This window comes from Homo sapiens, chromosome 8 (genome assembly GCF_000001405.40).
Source record: "Homo sapiens chromosome 8, GRCh38.p14 Primary Assembly".
NCBI lineage: Eukaryota > Metazoa > Chordata > Mammalia > Primates > Hominidae > Homo > Homo sapiens.
The window spans coordinates 52,162,933-52,180,500 of NC_000008.11; the positions used below are offsets into that span (position 1 = coordinate 52,162,933).

General features: G+C 41.4%; 1 protein-coding gene across 61 annotated transcripts in view; it reads right to left on the reverse strand.

Annotated features, from left to right (window-relative positions):
* Positions 1–17,568, reverse strand: part of ST18 (ST18 C2H2C-type zinc finger transcription factor) — a 299,042-nt gene that overhangs the window by 52,095 nt on the left and 229,379 nt on the right. For 54 of the 61 annotated variants that reach the window (NM_001352871.2, NM_001352836.2, NM_001352872.2 and 51 more), the window contains 5 exons: positions 17,190–17,380; positions 8,860–9,651; positions 3,920–4,054; positions 2,203–2,293; positions 1,054–1,158 (listed from right to left, as the gene is read on the reverse strand). In NM_001352871.2, the coding sequence (NP_001339800.1) occupies positions 1,054–1,158; positions 2,203–2,293; positions 3,920–4,054; positions 8,860–9,651; positions 17,190–17,380 (1,314 nt within the window). Of the gene's footprint in view, positions 1–1,053; positions 1,159–2,202; positions 2,294–3,919; positions 4,055–8,636; positions 8,821–8,859; positions 9,652–17,189; positions 17,381–17,568 lie in introns of those variants that run through there. The other 7 variants (NM_001352858.2, NM_001352860.2, NM_001352859.2 and 4 more) reach the window with 4 other exon arrangements.

The following is a 17,568-nucleotide window of genomic DNA, read 5'->3' on the forward strand; positions in this document are numbered from 1 at the left end:
TGAGCAACTAGTTGATCTTATTGCCTTTATAACTTGGTTTAGAGCCTTAAATCTGCATATATATTCTAATCTAAAACAATATTAATCTTTTAAGAAATGAGCAAAATGAAATTCAATATTCTTTCTATATTTGCTAACTAACTTACTTGGGGAGAAACTAGAGTGTACAGTCATACCAACCAAGAATCTTACTTTAAGACTTTTAATTGCTACTTATTCAGTAATTCATAATTTTCACTTGACATATGTTCTTCACGCATGTGATTTAAATGCCAATTTTGACTCTTCATCAAATCTATAGAAGCAAAATATTAAGGGAAGCCGTATCTTGAAAACGTTGAAATGTCTAATAACTGGTTTTATATTTCAGTGACTCAGTAACAATAGTTATCTGATCATCTAGCTTAATCCTGAAATCATTTTCCCTACAAAAATGATTTTATGGCAATAAACATATAACTTTACATTAAATATCATCATATATACTTTAGTATTTAGATATAAAATCTTCCAAATTTCTAGATATCACCAAGAGGCTGGGAGCTACCAGGACCAATAGGAGATACTTTATTAATAGCTGTCAATCATGGAATGAATTTTTGTTTTAAATACATTATATGTGTTTGTGGAACTGAAGGATGAATATATAACAGTACATATTTAGGAAAGGCAGGAGTGACTTCTGATGGCATTTTCTCCAGGCAGAAAGGTGATGAAGGAGTGCTCATCTGACTTGTGGGTATACTTAGTAACCCACAATTCTGATTAATGTAGGCTATGGTATATTAATTCTTTTAGATTCACCCCTATTATGTTACCTTTGCAAAGAGATGACTTTCAAGTTAAACTTCTGGAGAGTTTAGTAGTTCATTTCAGCAACGATGTCATTAACTAGACCAGCCTCTGGTCTAGTGGAGTGGGCTGCACACCCAGGTCTACTGGGGCTGAGAGGGGAGGTCAAGCCACAGAGAACTGACTCATGAAGGACCAGAGGCCCCGCTGTGCAGGAGCCTGGATGAAGAGAGCACTGAGAACATCGTTAGGGGTTCATACCTGTGGGCCTGGTCAGGACACTGCCCAGTTTGGGGAGAATCAAGCTGATTTTTATCCTGGGACATTGCCAATTTTTCAGCTGCAGCAATTGGACAACCAGAAAGACTGTTTAAAAAAAGAAACACAGGAGGATTTTAGTTAAAATGATAATATGATTTGTTTTGGCATGTGCCTCACAGCACACTTGGCACACACTAAATGTTAAGTCATATTAATAGTTCACTTAGCACCACGCACACACTGAAAGATCCCAAAGGGTTTTGCAAACTACAGTGTCAACACTTGCTCCCATCCCCATCTCAGAGGTGAAAGGTAACAAACTCATTTTTAAACATCAAAACATTATGTAAGGGATAAATAACTAAAGCATTTGGAAACTTTTTAATATTCTAAGTGAATGTGCTCATTCCAATTGCAATGTATCCAACTCGAGAAGTTAGCATAACTCCTTGACTTATCTTAGCATCTTTAGAAAAATTTTAGGAACTCAGTTTTTCACCTTAGTTGAAATTCAAAGTGCAGAATGTGAAGTTTGCTGGCATAGTGCTTATAAGTCAAATAGTACCTCATCGCCACATAATCGACTTGTAATATAAAATGTGAATATCAAACAATCAGCATTTTCACCCCAAATATTTATAGACACACAATACATTTTCATGTAAATGCACATATGTATGTCTTATGCTAGTTGCAATTTCAGTGAAGTGATGTTTACCCTACACCTGATTTATAGTTACAACCATTGAAGCCCTGTTGGTACCTTTTTAATGTCTATTGGACAGGATCCAGGATAACCTAGAAGCAACTCTTTGCAATGTCAAAACAGCAATGGTGAGGTTCTGGAGCAAAAGACAGCACATTCTATTTGTATGATTATATGAATAGGTAACCACAGCAACTTCAAATATAATATTTTTTCATTATCATAACTGGTTGCTAATATACAAATTTCTAAGAAAGGAAATGATGAGGTCCTTTCTTTTTGACAATGCACATGCTGAGAATATTTCTTCTCTATTTCAAGTGTCACATATTGGACAGTGATGCAGCAATTTTCATCACACATTGGTAACCCATTATTTTATTGGTGGAACGTTTCTACCACATTTTTTAAATGCAAAATGATTATCATCTAATGAGAATTACCTCCTGTGGGTGTTGCGGTTGCTGTTCACATGACCCCTTCCTGTGCATCCCGGCGTGGGACACTTGAGCACATTTTCATGCATGGCAAGAACTAAGCACAAAACAACACATAAAGGAAAGAATACTTTACCATAAATACAAAGCACACTAACACGTGTATCTCTCAACTTTGCATTTAAATGACTTCAGTTCCATCATCCACCATGCTCTCTCTCTCTATTCAGACACAAACAAGTGAGCATGGAAGAACTTCAGAAATTAAATCCAGCAAGCTTGATCAAGTTGTAATTTCTCTAAACTCCACGTTGTGTTTACACTAGACTTCAGTGAGATGATTCTGCTTATAGTTAACGTAAACTGAAAACTTGTAACCTTCCCATCACCTGAATGTGATTTTCCCTGGGGGATGGATGGAGCATGCCGTTTGTCATATAGTTCTTTCTATCTTTTCCCTGCAGTTTGAAGTTCTGCGTATGGTCTTCTTTATTTTCTAAGTGATATCATTTTGATTCTTTGTCCATCCACCCGCTACTCCCCACACCCCACTGCCATTTGGTTACTGGGAGAAAAGTATGGTTGAGCGAAGAGCCAGAGAACCAGTCTGAGGAACTGCTAAACTGGCAGGACAGCACTGAGCTGATTAGACTTAGTGACTTGCAAAATCTCACTTTTGAGAAGAATGATGTTAAGCACTTCCATTTTTGCAATTTGTTTTGGCCCAAAAGATGTGTCAATAGGTAGGTTCACAAAGTGGAAGATGTAACAGGTCGATATTGTACAATGTAGAAGGTGGCAGCCCTCTGCTTCACTGCCAGTAGATAGCTCACAGCGGGGCTGAGGGTGGAGAGGGGGCCAAGGCTTGCTCCTACTCAGGGCCCTCCACTGCTGCAGGATGTCCTGAGACAACACCAAGGAGTATATTCCCATTGCGAGAGGAGGCCAGGAGGACCATGGTGACTGCTCTGTGATGCGTCAAGGCTGACTGGTCCTGAGCTTAAGGAATCCATACCTCCAGGTGAAACAGAACTGTGTAGTCACACAGTTTAATAACCATGACTTATTTTTATATTCTGGTGATTTAACATCTGGGGCCTTGCTAACTCTGGAGGGACTGCCCCTCCCAGGCTAGCCAATTCCCAGAGAGAATGAACAACTTTCCCACAAGCACACTTTAAAAATGCAATCCAGCCAATCTGGAACCCACAGCCCAACTACCTCCTTTACTGGGCGCTCACCCTCTGGGGCACTGTTCTTCTGCCCTGATTGCTCCAGAGGCAGGTACCAGACAACTAGGGACAGCCCCTATGCCCTCGAGCCTGCTGAAATCAGTCAAACTGGCCAGTCCTAAGGCTGCTTACCCCATCCCATCAGAAACCACCATAAAGACTCTGGCCCACTGTCCGCACTCCCTCTACCCCTGAACTCCCTGGTGCTTTCCTGTGTGGCCCTCTGTGCTGTGGCCTGGCCCTTCCTCTGGACACTGTGAGGAACTAGCTGTCTTTCCTATGGCAATTGTCTCTTGATCTGTTGGCTTTCTTGCACCTTGAATTTTCTATAAATACACTATATTTTAAAACCCACAGCTAGATGGAATTGGCTTGACATAGTTTAAAAAAGTTTGTTTCCATTCCTAATTCCAAATTGGGAGACAAAGAGGATAACATCTTGATGATCTGGCGTGCATAAGCAGAAGCTTTGAGGGACAAGTGGTACTCACTTTCCAGGGGAACCCGCACTTTGTGGGGGCACCCCGAAAGGCTGCGGTGGTGCGGGTAGAGCCCTGTCACGTGTCCCGTGCCATCACATCCAGGGATCGGGCACTTGGTCTCCCTCTTTTCAGGCCTTGGTGAATCTATGGAGAAATTCAATTGAGAAATGCATTTGGTTATTCTTGCTTTTCTTCCCATTCAATAGAATGGCCTTGCAGGGTGACATTCTCACTTTATTCAGTTTTACCGTTATAAACATTCTTCTCACATCGCCTTGAACAAGACCCTCAACTAAGACCTGTGGAAACGGAAAACATGTTTTCAATTTTCTTGGTTTCCTAAGTAAAGGCTGACACAGGGCAAGAGAGTGTTAAAATACAGAGATGGTTTTAAGTCGTCAAGTCACATATTGTAGTTAGAGCCTCATTATGAAAAATCAACCCTGTGCTAGGGGATGAACAGGCTCCCGAAAAGAAAAAATAGTGAGACAGAATTTATTTAAACCAAAACCATTTCTTATTGAAAGTCTAGAAAAAGCCAGACTCAAAATGACAAAAACAAAGAAACCACCATATCTGAGAAAGACCTGTCTGGCCTTGGCCCTGCAGGTCCTTGGGCTTGGTAGTGAAGAGCAGAGCCTGCTCCCTGCAGAGCAGCTGGCGGAGTTAGGACAGGGCAAGGACACTGGCTTGTGTCCTGTCTGTCCAGTGCTAGTGATTCACGGTCTCGAGATTCCAACACCCCCACGGGTTGCCACTTGGGTTCAGCATGCAGTGAGCACGGGGAAGAAGCTGCTGATCTCACTCTAAATGCAGAATCTGAAAACTGAGGCAGCAGGAAGACTTGGAAGGGAAATGTTCTTGCAGGAGACTTCCAGAAAATAGAAGTGCAAAGAGTGCAGGCCACCGAGCAGCGGTCCAGAGAGCACCCCCAGGAACACCAGTGTGGGTGGGGCCCACGGGAGCAGCCGGTCATGGTAAGGGGCACCTGCTCATGCATTTTCTGGGTGCCTGGGGAGGGTGAGGCTCCAGACAAGCTTGGGGTTTGATTTTCTGGCACACACTTTGCCACAACTTAAAAAGTTATATAAATATATACAATAAATGAGGACCAAACATGAATACTGGTGAGCTTAGAACTAACACAGATGAGGCCTTATTCAGAAATGTTCACATTCATGACTGAGATGGCAGATAAAGGTGAAACAAAGATGCACTCTTAAAGCCCAAATTGCCCCCTAACTTGTGCTGGGAATAACACCAACCATGGGGAGAGCCTGTCCCACGGCACTTGGGGCACGGAGAAGAAAGAGCATGAGAAGATGCACAGGAGCCCTCAGAGAGGGGCAATGCAGGAGGACAGGAGGCTATCGGGGTCTGCAACATGAGGCCTCAGGAATAATGAGCACACTAGATGCTGATAGTGGAAACAGGCAGTGTGGTCCTGCCCGAGAAGATGCTGACGTTGGAACATGGGGCCTGCGTGCGAGGGTGCGGAGCCTCGTGTGCTCCTGTGCAACGGGGCACGAAGTCTGGCCACTGTCACGGGATGCGACAGACATTTCCGGGGTGCTGTATTGTGAGAGCAGACGTGCCTCTGCCATACCATGGCACCCCAGTTGCTGGATGATAAACAGTCCTAGGCAGATGGGGCACAGCAGGTTGTATGTAATGCAATTATATGGGGGCATGGATTCAGCAGAAGCGGAAGAGCCAAGGATCCTTCGAGTCGTTCTGCGCTGAGGGTCAGGGAGGTCAGGAGACAAGGCAGGAAGTCTTAAATGAGCAACGAACGGCCAGATGATGGGGCTGCGGCCAGCAGCAGGCATTTACATTAGGAAAGATAGGACCTAAATGTGCCCGTGTCGATACTATTCTCTCTGCATTTCGTAATAGACAAATTAAGAGTTTTGTGATGCTCCATGATTTGTGGATATATGTTTTATTTAATCCAAAAATAGTGCCAAATTTCAAGTTGATGTGAAATCTGTAGACCACTAGGTCCAAATTCTTAAAGTCTGATTAGGGGAACTGAGGGGAGCTGACACCATAGGAGAGTAAGTTAGAAAAAAAGGAGAAGAGCAATAATGTGTATTTCGATGCCCTTCCTCTCTTGGACCTTGCCCAGGTAAGGTCACGTTTCTAAACCACATTGAAAGGATTGGCGTCGCACACTTCCCCTCCTCGCCACACTGTTTGTCTGCAGGAAGCCCGAGAGGGTGCTAGAGATAAGGCAGCCTGGCTCCTGCCCAAGTGCAGCCCACTGACAGTCCACCGTGCCCCTTTGTCTGTAAGTCCCTCCTCTGCTGGGTGAAACAAAGATGCAGGGAAATGCTCTGGAGAGCAGAACCTGTTTGCATGATAAGAAGCCAGAGCTTGAGCCTGGGGCGACTCTCAGGCTTGGCTCTTCCTCTGTTTTCTTTGTACAATGTTGCATAATGAGGGTGACCTTATACTCTGGTGATGTTACACCTTGGTTTTCCTGGGACTGTCCTCATCCACACCTGATGTACTCATGTAATGGTTCATAGTGTTCCCCTTTTCATAGGCAGGACAGTCAATGACAGGGCGACTGTACTTACATTGCAACCTAAATCTCACTAAATGCTTAGTGGCAAGAGTCTAACCAAACTAATTTTAGAATTGCTGACTCATCTGAAAGCTGGGGTAAAATGAGATTTTAAAACTCTTGAGTTTTCTCCTTAACAGTGAAGTTGCATGGTCAAGGTGTTGTCTGGGAGGTTAGGTTGGTATTTTGGAGAATATGGCTGTCAGTTGGGATAAGCATTGACTTAACAGCATGGAGTGCATGTCAGAGAGAAAAAACATCCTTCTTGTGCCATTGGATCCCACATCGGGAACAAGGAATAGGAAAGGGAATACTCAGTTTGCAGGCCTCCTCTAGACTAAGCCTGTGGCTCTTCTTCAATGTGGGCTTCACCTTCTTCACCTGTTTTGCTGACTAGCCTGCCTGGTCTTGATCTTGCAGAGGCTGCCCCCATGCCTCAGGCACTAGGATATACCGCTGAGTCATCCAGCCCTAGTAGGAATTCGGTAAGCCTCCAATTGGCCCAAATGTTTACAAACACAGATTATATGTCCTGAATTTTTGAAAACAAAAAAAAAGAAGTTTCAAAAGCTCTATAAAATTATTCTAAGGATCATCAAATACTTTAAGATGTGGCTCAAATAATTAAGTTTCTGTAAATACTAGGTTTCATTGCCTGTAAGGTATCATCAATTGTTTAACAAAACAAAAGAAATCATCATTTTGTGTGCTACTTAGAAAGAAAAAAATGATTGGTAATTAAACTATCGCATACTCTTCTGAGTTCAGAGATGATAAAATGGAAAAATGATCACACCTGTAATCCCAGCACTTTGGGAGGCCGAGGCGGATGGATCATGTTCCAGACCAGCCCGGCCAACACGGGGAAACCCCGTCTCTACTGAAAATACAAAAATTAGCTGGTTGTGGTGGTGAGCACCTGTAATCCTAGCTACTCGGGAGGCTGAGGCAGGAGAATGGAACCTGGGAGGCAGAGCTTGCAGTGAGCCGACACGGCGCCACTGCACTCCAGCCTGGGCAACAGAGCAAAACTCAAAAATCAATAAATAAATAAATAAATAAATAAATAAATAAATAAATAAATAAAAATGGAGAAATGATATCTCTTAAGATCAATAATATATAGTATATCAGAAATTGTGGATTTCGGGAATTTTGAGTAAATTTCATTTTTTTTTCTGATTTTGTAGTTTACTTAAAAAGTTAAATACAATAAGTTGCACATTAGTGGGAGTGCACAGAGCTAGATACAGTGTCCTGCCCTGAACCACAGGCTAGTCATTAATATTCTGTTCCCACTCCAACCCTTGCAGGATGTTTGCATGGCATTATCTTGCTCCTCACTACATGACACCGTTTTATCCTTTTTTGTTTTCTCAGCTCTGAGATGCAAGACATTATTTGTCAAGATTGCAGGTGAGTGCTAAAATGGATTTAAAATGACAAAATATATAATTTGTTTCTGGATAACTCTCAGCAATCAGAACTTCTCAACCACACTAACATGTTATTCTTGTAAGCTCCTTGGGTCCACTGCCCTGATTTTTTCTAAGGTACTCCTCTCCCTAATTTTGTGGCTCTCGGGTTTCAGAGATACCAAGAATCACCTGGAAACTTAGAGAAAAAAATGCAAATGCTGGAGAACTGATGATGATGGGATCTGAAAATACTCATCTTAAACAAGCATTCTAGGCACTAAGGACTGCTCTTGGGAAGCTCCATAAAACTGCTAGAAATAGCATGAGGCTCATCTGGTGCAAGACTCCGGGGAGAAAGAGCAGGGGGAATGCTCCAGGGAAGCAGGAACACACTTTTCTCAAGGTCTGAAGAACAATTCTAAAGCCTCCTCAAAGCACACCTACTCTCTCATTCAAATTTGTCCCAGAGATGTATGAGCCCCGAGTTAGAAAGCCAGTGAAAGCGTAGGCTCATAAACGCATTAACATCTAGGTTTATCCCAAAAAGGACCAGAGCATCCTGCCTGGCTAGCAAGTTAGATAATCCAAGAATGAGGGTGGGAAAGAAAAATTAAGTTTCTGGAAGATTTAAGATCCAGTAAATACTGATGTACTTCCAATAATGTCAAATAAAGTTATTTCTAAAGGTATGATGCATTTATAAAAAACAGTTAAATTAAGAGAAATAGATTCAATGAACCTTTTTTCATGTGTGAAAATAGTCCAAAATTAACACAGCTTGATTGGAGGATAATCTAGAGAGTGGGGGAAAAGAAAGAAATTGTTTATTTTATAATTATAAATTGATTTTTAAGTTGCATTAAACTGTTAAAAAGCTACCTGAAAAAAATAATCAAATCTGACTTTTTTTTCAAACCCTAATGCACTTTTATTCCTAAAATAAATGCAAAAATGTGTCTTACGTTTATTGTTAAAGATTTGTCTTCCACCCATGTCGATAACTTTGGTTTGCCTCCTTTCCCCTGCTAGGTGCTCCAGCAGGAACCTATCCAGCTCTTTGTAGGTGTTATGGAAAACACAACCTCGCTCAGCCTGCAGAGCAATTGCCTGCTCCAGCAAACTTAAATTCCCCTTGGCCTTTTCCAGGTCACTACCCTCTTCCGTCATTACTGCCAGGCTCTCGCTATCTTCCTCCTCAACGTCAGGGAATGAGGGCTGGGCATTGCCATCCAGGGGTTCTGCGAGAGCATTCTGCGGGTCTTTCCTTTCTGTTTCAGAATCACACCTGTTCTCACAAGGGATAAATTTGTCACCTTCAGTTTTTATTTCAGGAACTTCCAATAGGTCTTTTTTATGATCTGTTAAAACATACTTTGGGACTCTAGGTGGTTTGGTTTCTTCTGAGAAGTTGGAGCCACTGTCCCAGCCATTTTCTGCACTTTCAGAGTTACTTTCATTGTCATCAGAGGAGCAGAAGGGTGGCTGAGAATCATCAATCTTGTCTCTTCCATCATCAGAATGAATCAGAAAGCACTCGTCTGCTTCATCGCTCTCTGCTTTTAAAGACTGGATGCCACTGTCATTTAAATTTTCACTTACAGTCTGAACAGATACATTTTTTTCAAATTTCCCCAAGTGCATTAAAGACTTGACCATGAGCTCTTGATAACAAGAGTATCTGTCTTCCTTCCTACTGGAGTTTTCTTGTGCAGTTGAAAGAAGACTTTCATCCATAGGTTTTATCATGATTTCCTCTATGGAAAAAGAAAACCAATATTTGAAGAGCAAGAACAAAAAATATTTTAGGAAAATTGCAACAAGTTATATGTATATAAACATATGCATTCACATACATAGGTACATACACATACATATATGTACACATATACATACATAATATGTGTAATATATCATCTCTATTAATTTTATAAACATTGGTGAGAAAAACATATATCCTCTTAAGAGAAAACTTAGACCTTAATAGTCTAAGAACTGTGTTAAAAGAAATGAGCTATTATAATTTCCAACATGTTAAGAGGTAAGTACTTCTGGGGTATTGACCAAGACAAGAAGTAGATACTTAACAATAATAGTATTTGCTGAATGTGAAATTATTGTTACTGTACTTCTTAGGTTCCTAACTCTTAGCCAACCAGAAGAAAATCAAATATATATAATAGTATACATTGTAAAGGAGATATTAATGAGTTTCTCTGTTAGCATGGCAATGTATTTTCAAAGCCATTTGGTTTCAGATTTTATGGAATGTTAGCTTTCCATACTTTCAGATTTTATGGAATGTTAGCTAAGATACAAAATACATCTTTCTGAGGCTTTCAAGACTTCCTGTTTACCTTTGTAATTGTCACCCTAAAATTCCATATTGAAGGAAACACAAACAGGGAAATTAGCATGATCAAATCATATCTTGAATAGTAACACATTTTCTGGTCCATTACTTGCATGCACTTGTGTAACAAGGAAATGAGACAAGGTGGGGCATTGGAGGGTGCTGAATGGCAACTAGCTGTTTTCAGTACAAGGCTACTTTGGGTCCTGAACGTGAAGGCACCCCGTGAGGAGCCCCCAGTGCCTGTCTGTCCAGGGTCCAGGACAGTCTATGGGGTGGCTGTTGTCCCAGGCAGCCATTGTTGTCAGTGTCACCCCCTCTTGCTCTGGGAGTGGCCAGGTTGGGGTGACAGAGTGTATAGACAACAATGAGCCTACCCAAGCCTGTCCCAGTGCAAGACACAGCAAGTGAGGGTGGATTCACAGGTGACTCCAGCCCAGGCCCAGGCACGTGGGGTGTGCCCAGCTCACACCAGGCTGTGAAGTGCCTGCAACAGTGCCCAGACATCCAAAAAATAGGAGGACTGTTTCTGTGTCTCAAAAGCAGGGTGGGGGGATGGGAAGCACCCAGTAATATGCCCCATTCAAGACTGTTAAAGACACCAAGAGCAGTGCATTCTGTGCTAATAAACATCTTTGGAGGGAAGAAAAGCACAGCCATCCGGTGTGAGCACTGAGGGAGAGAGTGTCTGTGCGGAAGACAATGTGTCTTTTTGGTCTCATTTAATTTTTTATAAACATTGTCTCTGACAAGGACACTCAAAAATACATCTCCATCATCTTCCTTTCTGGTAATTATCTCCCTAAATCAACAGTGGACTGCCAGGATCAAGTAAATATTGCCATAGTAACTAAAAGCATTTTTGGATGAAGGGAAGAATTCAGTCACAACACTAGCCCCTGTAAATAATGCTGATTATAGGGTGCAGTCTTTTGTTGGGATCTATTCAACATAAACTGAAAAATTTAACATTTTAGTTCCTAGAAAAGAGGCTGGATAAACAGGCACATAATATTTGATAGGATAGCCTATCCTCTCCTGAATTCATATCAGAGGAACTCCAGGTTTAAATAATATATTAAACATAGTCTAAAATGCAAATGAAGTTTTTCTCAATATCACAGTTGGCTATTAAGAGAAAGTGTAAAGGGTTATGATAATTTTAAAGTATTATGAACTACAGAAAACAAATAAAAAGCATTTTCAGTGAATATGCTCAATTCATTGAACTATTCTCTCACTCCACTTAACTACCCACATGTGTACGATAATGATTTATAGACATTATACCTAATTATGCATATTTGGGCTGTGTTAGAGTGCTAACAAAAGCTCTAGAAAGCAACAATTACCTCTGTTGCTTAGCTACATAGTTTAAAATATTCCTATTAAGTGCAGATCACCAGAGAGGCGGGAGTGACAAAAATGCACATGTGCACGACAATGCATTTCACTGTGCTGCTGCCAACTGCTCGCATTTTGGGTCATTTCCAGTTTACATAATTGTTTGGTTCAACTGTTTGTTATATGCTAAAAGAAAATATTTATTAATTATTCCTCAGAAAAAGAGGAGCCCCACTGACAGAGGTGCCTGCACAGCACACGCGGGTTTCTAGGGATGTTCTGCAAATCTGCAAACCAACTTTCCACATTCCACCCCCCTCCCAGGCTTTCACTGGAGTCATAAGAAAAAAAGTTGGGTTTGCTTTGGAAGCTGAGAGATCTGTGATGGGGTGCTTGTTTCTCCCAGCTTTGCAATGGGTTGCCTTCATTTTCTCAGGCTGTGTGTGTTTATTTTCTCTGGGGGCCTGGTGGTTTATTTTGTGCCTCTGCCACTGAACTGACCTAAAAAGCCCTGTTGTTAGCATCAGGTGGACCTAAGCTTGAGTTCTGATCCTGGCGGCCTCTCTTGCAAGCTCGGTGGGGCTGCGTCACCTGCCTGAGCTTGGCACCACCGTAGGCACATTGAGGACAATAGTTATCACCCTGTGTACCCTGTGGAGGCCACACGGGAATACCCAATAGGTATCCAGTCAAGGGTGGCTCTCTTGCCCCTGCCCCAGCTACTATTTTAGAAGGTAGTCGTGGCAGGGATTCTATGCAACCTTTATCATAAATAAGATGGGCTTAGTTTTTTACCTAGGATAATTACTAACATTGACCCCCAAGGACGGGCAGGGTCCCACTATTGAGAAGGCTCAACTCAGTTCATCCCCACTCCCAGCACACTATGCCATGTTCACCAACTGCCTTTGGAAACTATGAGTGAGTGCACGATATGCGATGTGGAGGAAGAAACCTCTAGGGGTATAAGGTGGTGTGGCTGGCCTGGCACTACCTGCTGTGTGACCTTGGACAGGCCCTTGGTTGCCTGAGACTGGGTCCTCATCTTCAAAACAAGGAAGATCCAATGATGTGATGACTGGATGGATAGTTCAAGGATCCCTCCTAGGACAACAAACTGTTTGTTCCTGGCATGGTGTTCAGCTGTTTATTTCATTTAATTGTCACAATAAGCACAAGAAAGGCATTTTCTACTCCAGTTCACAGAAGGGAAACTACAATTCTACAGAGGGCCAGGCTTGCTCGAGACCACATGCCCAGCCAGTGCAAGACTGAGACACAGGACCAGGGCTGCGTGGCTCCCACTCCATGCTCTGCCCTCTGAAACATACTACTCCAGGTCCCACAGCCATGGAAGGCTGTATGTCCTGGCTGGTGTTTTGGAAACACAGCGACCCTTAGGAGAAACAGCTAAGAACACTAGTAGCTCATTATTTTCTCAAGTTCGGATATTTTCAAGAGTGAATTTATATGAAGTTACTAGAATGCAATTGTCAGCTAACTCTTTTTTTTTTTTTAGACGGAGTCTCCCTCTGTCGCCCAGGCTGGAGTGCAGTGGCTCAATCTCTGCTCACTGCAACCTCCGCCTCCCAGGTACAAGTGATTCTCTTGCCTCAGCATCCTGAGTAGCTGGGATTACAAGCAAACACCACCGCATCCGGCTAATATTTTTTGTATTTTTAGTAGAGATGGGGTTTCAGCATGTAGGTCAGGCTGGTCTCGAACTCCTGACCTCGTGATCCGCCCGCCTCGGCCTCCCAAAGTGCTGGGTTACAGGCGTGAGCCACCGCGCCTGGCCAATTGTCAGGTAACTTTCAATGAGAAGAAAGGTGATGATCAATTATAAATAAAATAAACAACATGACCAAACAAAAACTAAAAGTGTTCCAACCTCAACTTTCTTAACAACAAAACTCTAATAGGTCAAAAAATGTCTAGGGTCAGCTCTTGGGAGGGCATAACCAGAGGGTTACAGCCAGCCAGTGAGCAGACTGTTCGCTGGTCCAGGCCTTTCTCCATCCGGAGCACATTCACAGTGTGGGGAGGGAGCAGCGGCTGGAGCTGGGATGATTTCTAGAGTAAAAAGTAAATGTTTCTGCCTGATACATACAAGTTCACAGTTATTTATTTACGTTAAACCAAGACCTCTACTCAGAGTTTTCTGGTAATCCTACAGATACATACTAATGAATCCCGGCATAGATGTTGGCTGTTCTGCAAAGATACAACTTTAAAACATCCTCTGAAAGTCACAACATATTTTGAGTTTGTCTCCTTTAGTAACACTGGATGTTATTATAATTGGATTTCAGTTCTGTTTCTGTAACTAGCTAGGTTACTTTTATAGGTAAATTGGTTTTCCAGGCCTCTTGAATATGTACATTTTGCTGGGAATAAAAGCCTTGGAAAAATGAATTCATCTTTCAAAGTTCCGAAAGCAGAGTGGTTTATCCCTTATTTGCTATTAGTTGAAAGATAATGTGTTAAAAGTGTCCTCCCAGCCCCTAGAACTTCTATGACTGTGACATATTTCCCCATGAGCTTGTGGTTACGCTGCTGGGGACCCCACACCTGGGCTTGGTTAATCTTCCTTCCGGAGACTTTCATTCTCCCTGCCTGTGTCAGGAAAGCCTGTGCTTATCACTCTTCCTCCCTTCTGGTAGTACTTTGCAAGCTCGTCTCCTCAGGAAGGAAGAGGTAACTGCATGGTTTGTCCATGTTCTCTTCTATCCCCTTAACGGCAACCTGTATCTTTTTGAAAGACAGCAGGTTGAGGATATGGATGAAGTCTGTGCCATAAAGCGGAATAAAACTTTAGCATTCAAGCTCCTGACCTCAGTCTCTTCCTGAGCACTATCCCTTCTCTCATCATCTGAGCTTCCCAGCTGCAGATGATATAATTGGGCACACACCTGGCCAGGTAAATACCCTGGGGTAACCAGAGTACATGAGAGGCTAGATGAAAAGCCCTATGCTGACTTGGGCACTAACTCAGTGCTCTTTCCTCCTAGGGGGTGGGGGGTAACTTGTTCAGAGGGCTGAAGGCAACTTAGAATCTTTGTTCTTTTGACCAGGCATGGGGCCTGCCATTACTGGAAACTGTGACTTCATGATTTGACATTGTAGGAACTTTGACCATTCTGCATTCTGAAGGTAGTCAGTGTGTGAGGACAACTGAATTACAGAGCATAGTTAGTTGGGAAATAATTATTTTGCTTGTCCTTCCAATTGTTTCCTAATTATCTTCCTTCTAACACCTATAAGATCCATTACCTTCAGCGTCAAATCTCTTTGGTCCCCAATGATTTCATCTGTAAAACTGTGCCCATAATCACACACACTCGTGGCATTATGTGGATTAATCGATATCATTTACGTGTCTGGAATATATTAAGAACTCAAAAACAATGGTCACCACTGCTGTAATTTTAGCATATTCATTATTATTATTAGTGGTTCTAATATGAAATATAAACATAGTTAGCCTATTTTTGTGAACCTGCAAATAGATGTCCATCAGTGCTTGTAACTGTGTGTTTAACTGGAGGACATCTGGACAATATATTCACTTGGTTCATATCAAACATGTACAGTGGTCAACAAACTACAATAGAAGGTGACAAGTCAGTGAGCCAGATATAGTCTGTCTTCACAACACTTAAAAGAATGTGCTGATGCAAACGCACACACATTTTCTTAAACACTTGGCAAATTAATGTTAGCTAGATGGATTATACTGCAAGTCTAACCACAAATGATTCAAAGACTTTCCCTAATACTAGATTCAACTTGCAAATTTTCATGAATCAACAAATAAAACGGAGCCAGGCATGGTGGCTCACACCTGTAATCCCAGCACTTTGGGAGGCTGAGGCAGGCGATCACTTCAGGTCAGGAGTTTGAGACCAGCTTAGCCAACATAGTGAAACCCTGTCTCTACCAAAAATACAAAAATTAGCTGGGTGTGGCTGTAATCCCAGCTACTCAGGAGGCTGAGGCAGGAGAATTGCTTGAACCTGGGAGGTGGAGGTTGCAGTGAGCTGAGATCCCACCATTGCACTCCAGCCTGGGCGACAAAGTGAGACTCCATCAAAAAAAAAAAAAAAAAAAAAAAAAAAAACCACCAAAAACCAAAATAAAACAAACAAAAAAAACCCACCAAAACAACAACAACAACAAAACAAATAAAGTTGATCAGTTCAAGGAAACAAAAAAAAGTCAAGGGTGATTATAATTTACAGATGAGCTATGAGGCTTTAAATCACATGCTAAATACAGAAAAGCCAAAGAATTTACTTAAATACCTTCAAATCAGAATACAACTTTGTTTTAAGCGCAGAATTGCAAACTCTATTTTCAAGCCAGTATTACTGGATCTAGGATGATTCTGAACTGAGATTTGTGCTCACTCATAAGTAAGCCCTTAAATCTTTTCTATTAATTCTTATTGCTAACTATGATTCTACATGCCATAAAAATTTATTACATAAGAATCTCATTGCCTTTTGTTTGCATAATTAGTACTTATTTTTAAATAACAAGTTATTTAGTATATTTTGATTCCTTTAAAATTCACATTCAGAAAAAAATCATGTTTAGTAGAATATACATCTAGTTTCATTTTCTAAGTCAATTTTTAGATCTTAATTGTTTTCTATAATTTTTGAGAGTTTTTGCATGTCCCTCAGCTTCGCCTTATGCACAAAGTGATCAGTGATATTCAAACTCCTAGAGGCATGTGACTACCAGGAACTAATGTGAATAACATTCAATGGGGAAAAAAGAAATCCTAAAGTTTTGAAACGTAACTACTTTTCACTTAGCACACAAAAGGTGTTTGATGAGTAAGTGAAGAAGCGAATCAATTAACTAAAATGTGCACCTAAAGAGAAACTTAAATAACTTATTTTTGAAATAATGGGCACAGTGATAACTTTTCTACAATACATCATTTTCCTTCAGTCTCCTTCTGAAGAAGACTAGTCTGCCAACTTGAGGTTGCTTCTATACTTGATTGCTATAAGCATTTATTCAAAAATATTAAAAATATTAAGGCCACAGACCACTTGCATTGGTTCATGTTGTTATTACCAATTATATTTTGGAGTAGAAACCATACATGTTGATAAAAAAAATTAAAAAAAATTTTTAACTGTAATATATACATATATATATCATCATCACTAATGAACATTATATATAACTTGATCATTGCAAAGGTGTCTTAAAGTTTAAATATGCCCTTGAATTTAAAGGATTCTTTCAGGAATCCTTCCTATTAGGAAGAAAAAGTACTCTTCAACTCTAAGACTTAGTATCTTGTATTTTCTTCAAAAAGAGGCATAGTTCAATCGTCTGCTTTTGAAAACGGATAGGGCAAGACTCTCTGTTGCTTATTTATGGACCCTCCACAGTTACTGATTAAAAACTGGGTCCTCAATAAATGAATGTCAAGTAAAATAAATGTTTCATTTTGCTTCCAAATCTTAATGTACTTTTACAACCATACAAACCATACAAACCACACACTCTACATGAATTAGCACAGAGTCCTTGGAGCCAGGGAGCAGGTAAAGTTTGGGCTCTCCTCCTTGCTACCTGCGGTAGAGTGACCATGTGTTTCCAAGGGGCCATCGTCCTCTGTCCTGTCACTGCGGTCTTCTTGGCAGTCTGCTTTTGGGCTGTAGTGTCGGGGCTTCATTAGCAGGGATTTCCTTTTGTTGACTGGAACCCCCAAAGCCTGATCTTCAGCTGTTCTCTTCTTTGCCATGGAGCAATCATAGGCAACACTGTAGTGATTGAGGAAAATTAAGAATATGGTAAATTAGCATTTACTGCTGTTTGGCATTTAACTTTCATGAAGTCTAACCTAAAGCCTTTGGAAACTTGGGACTAGAGGTTTAGGGTTGGTTACTGGCACTAACAAAAACATCCCATCTGTGGACTCCACTGAACTGTGTGGATTCTATTTTACTGC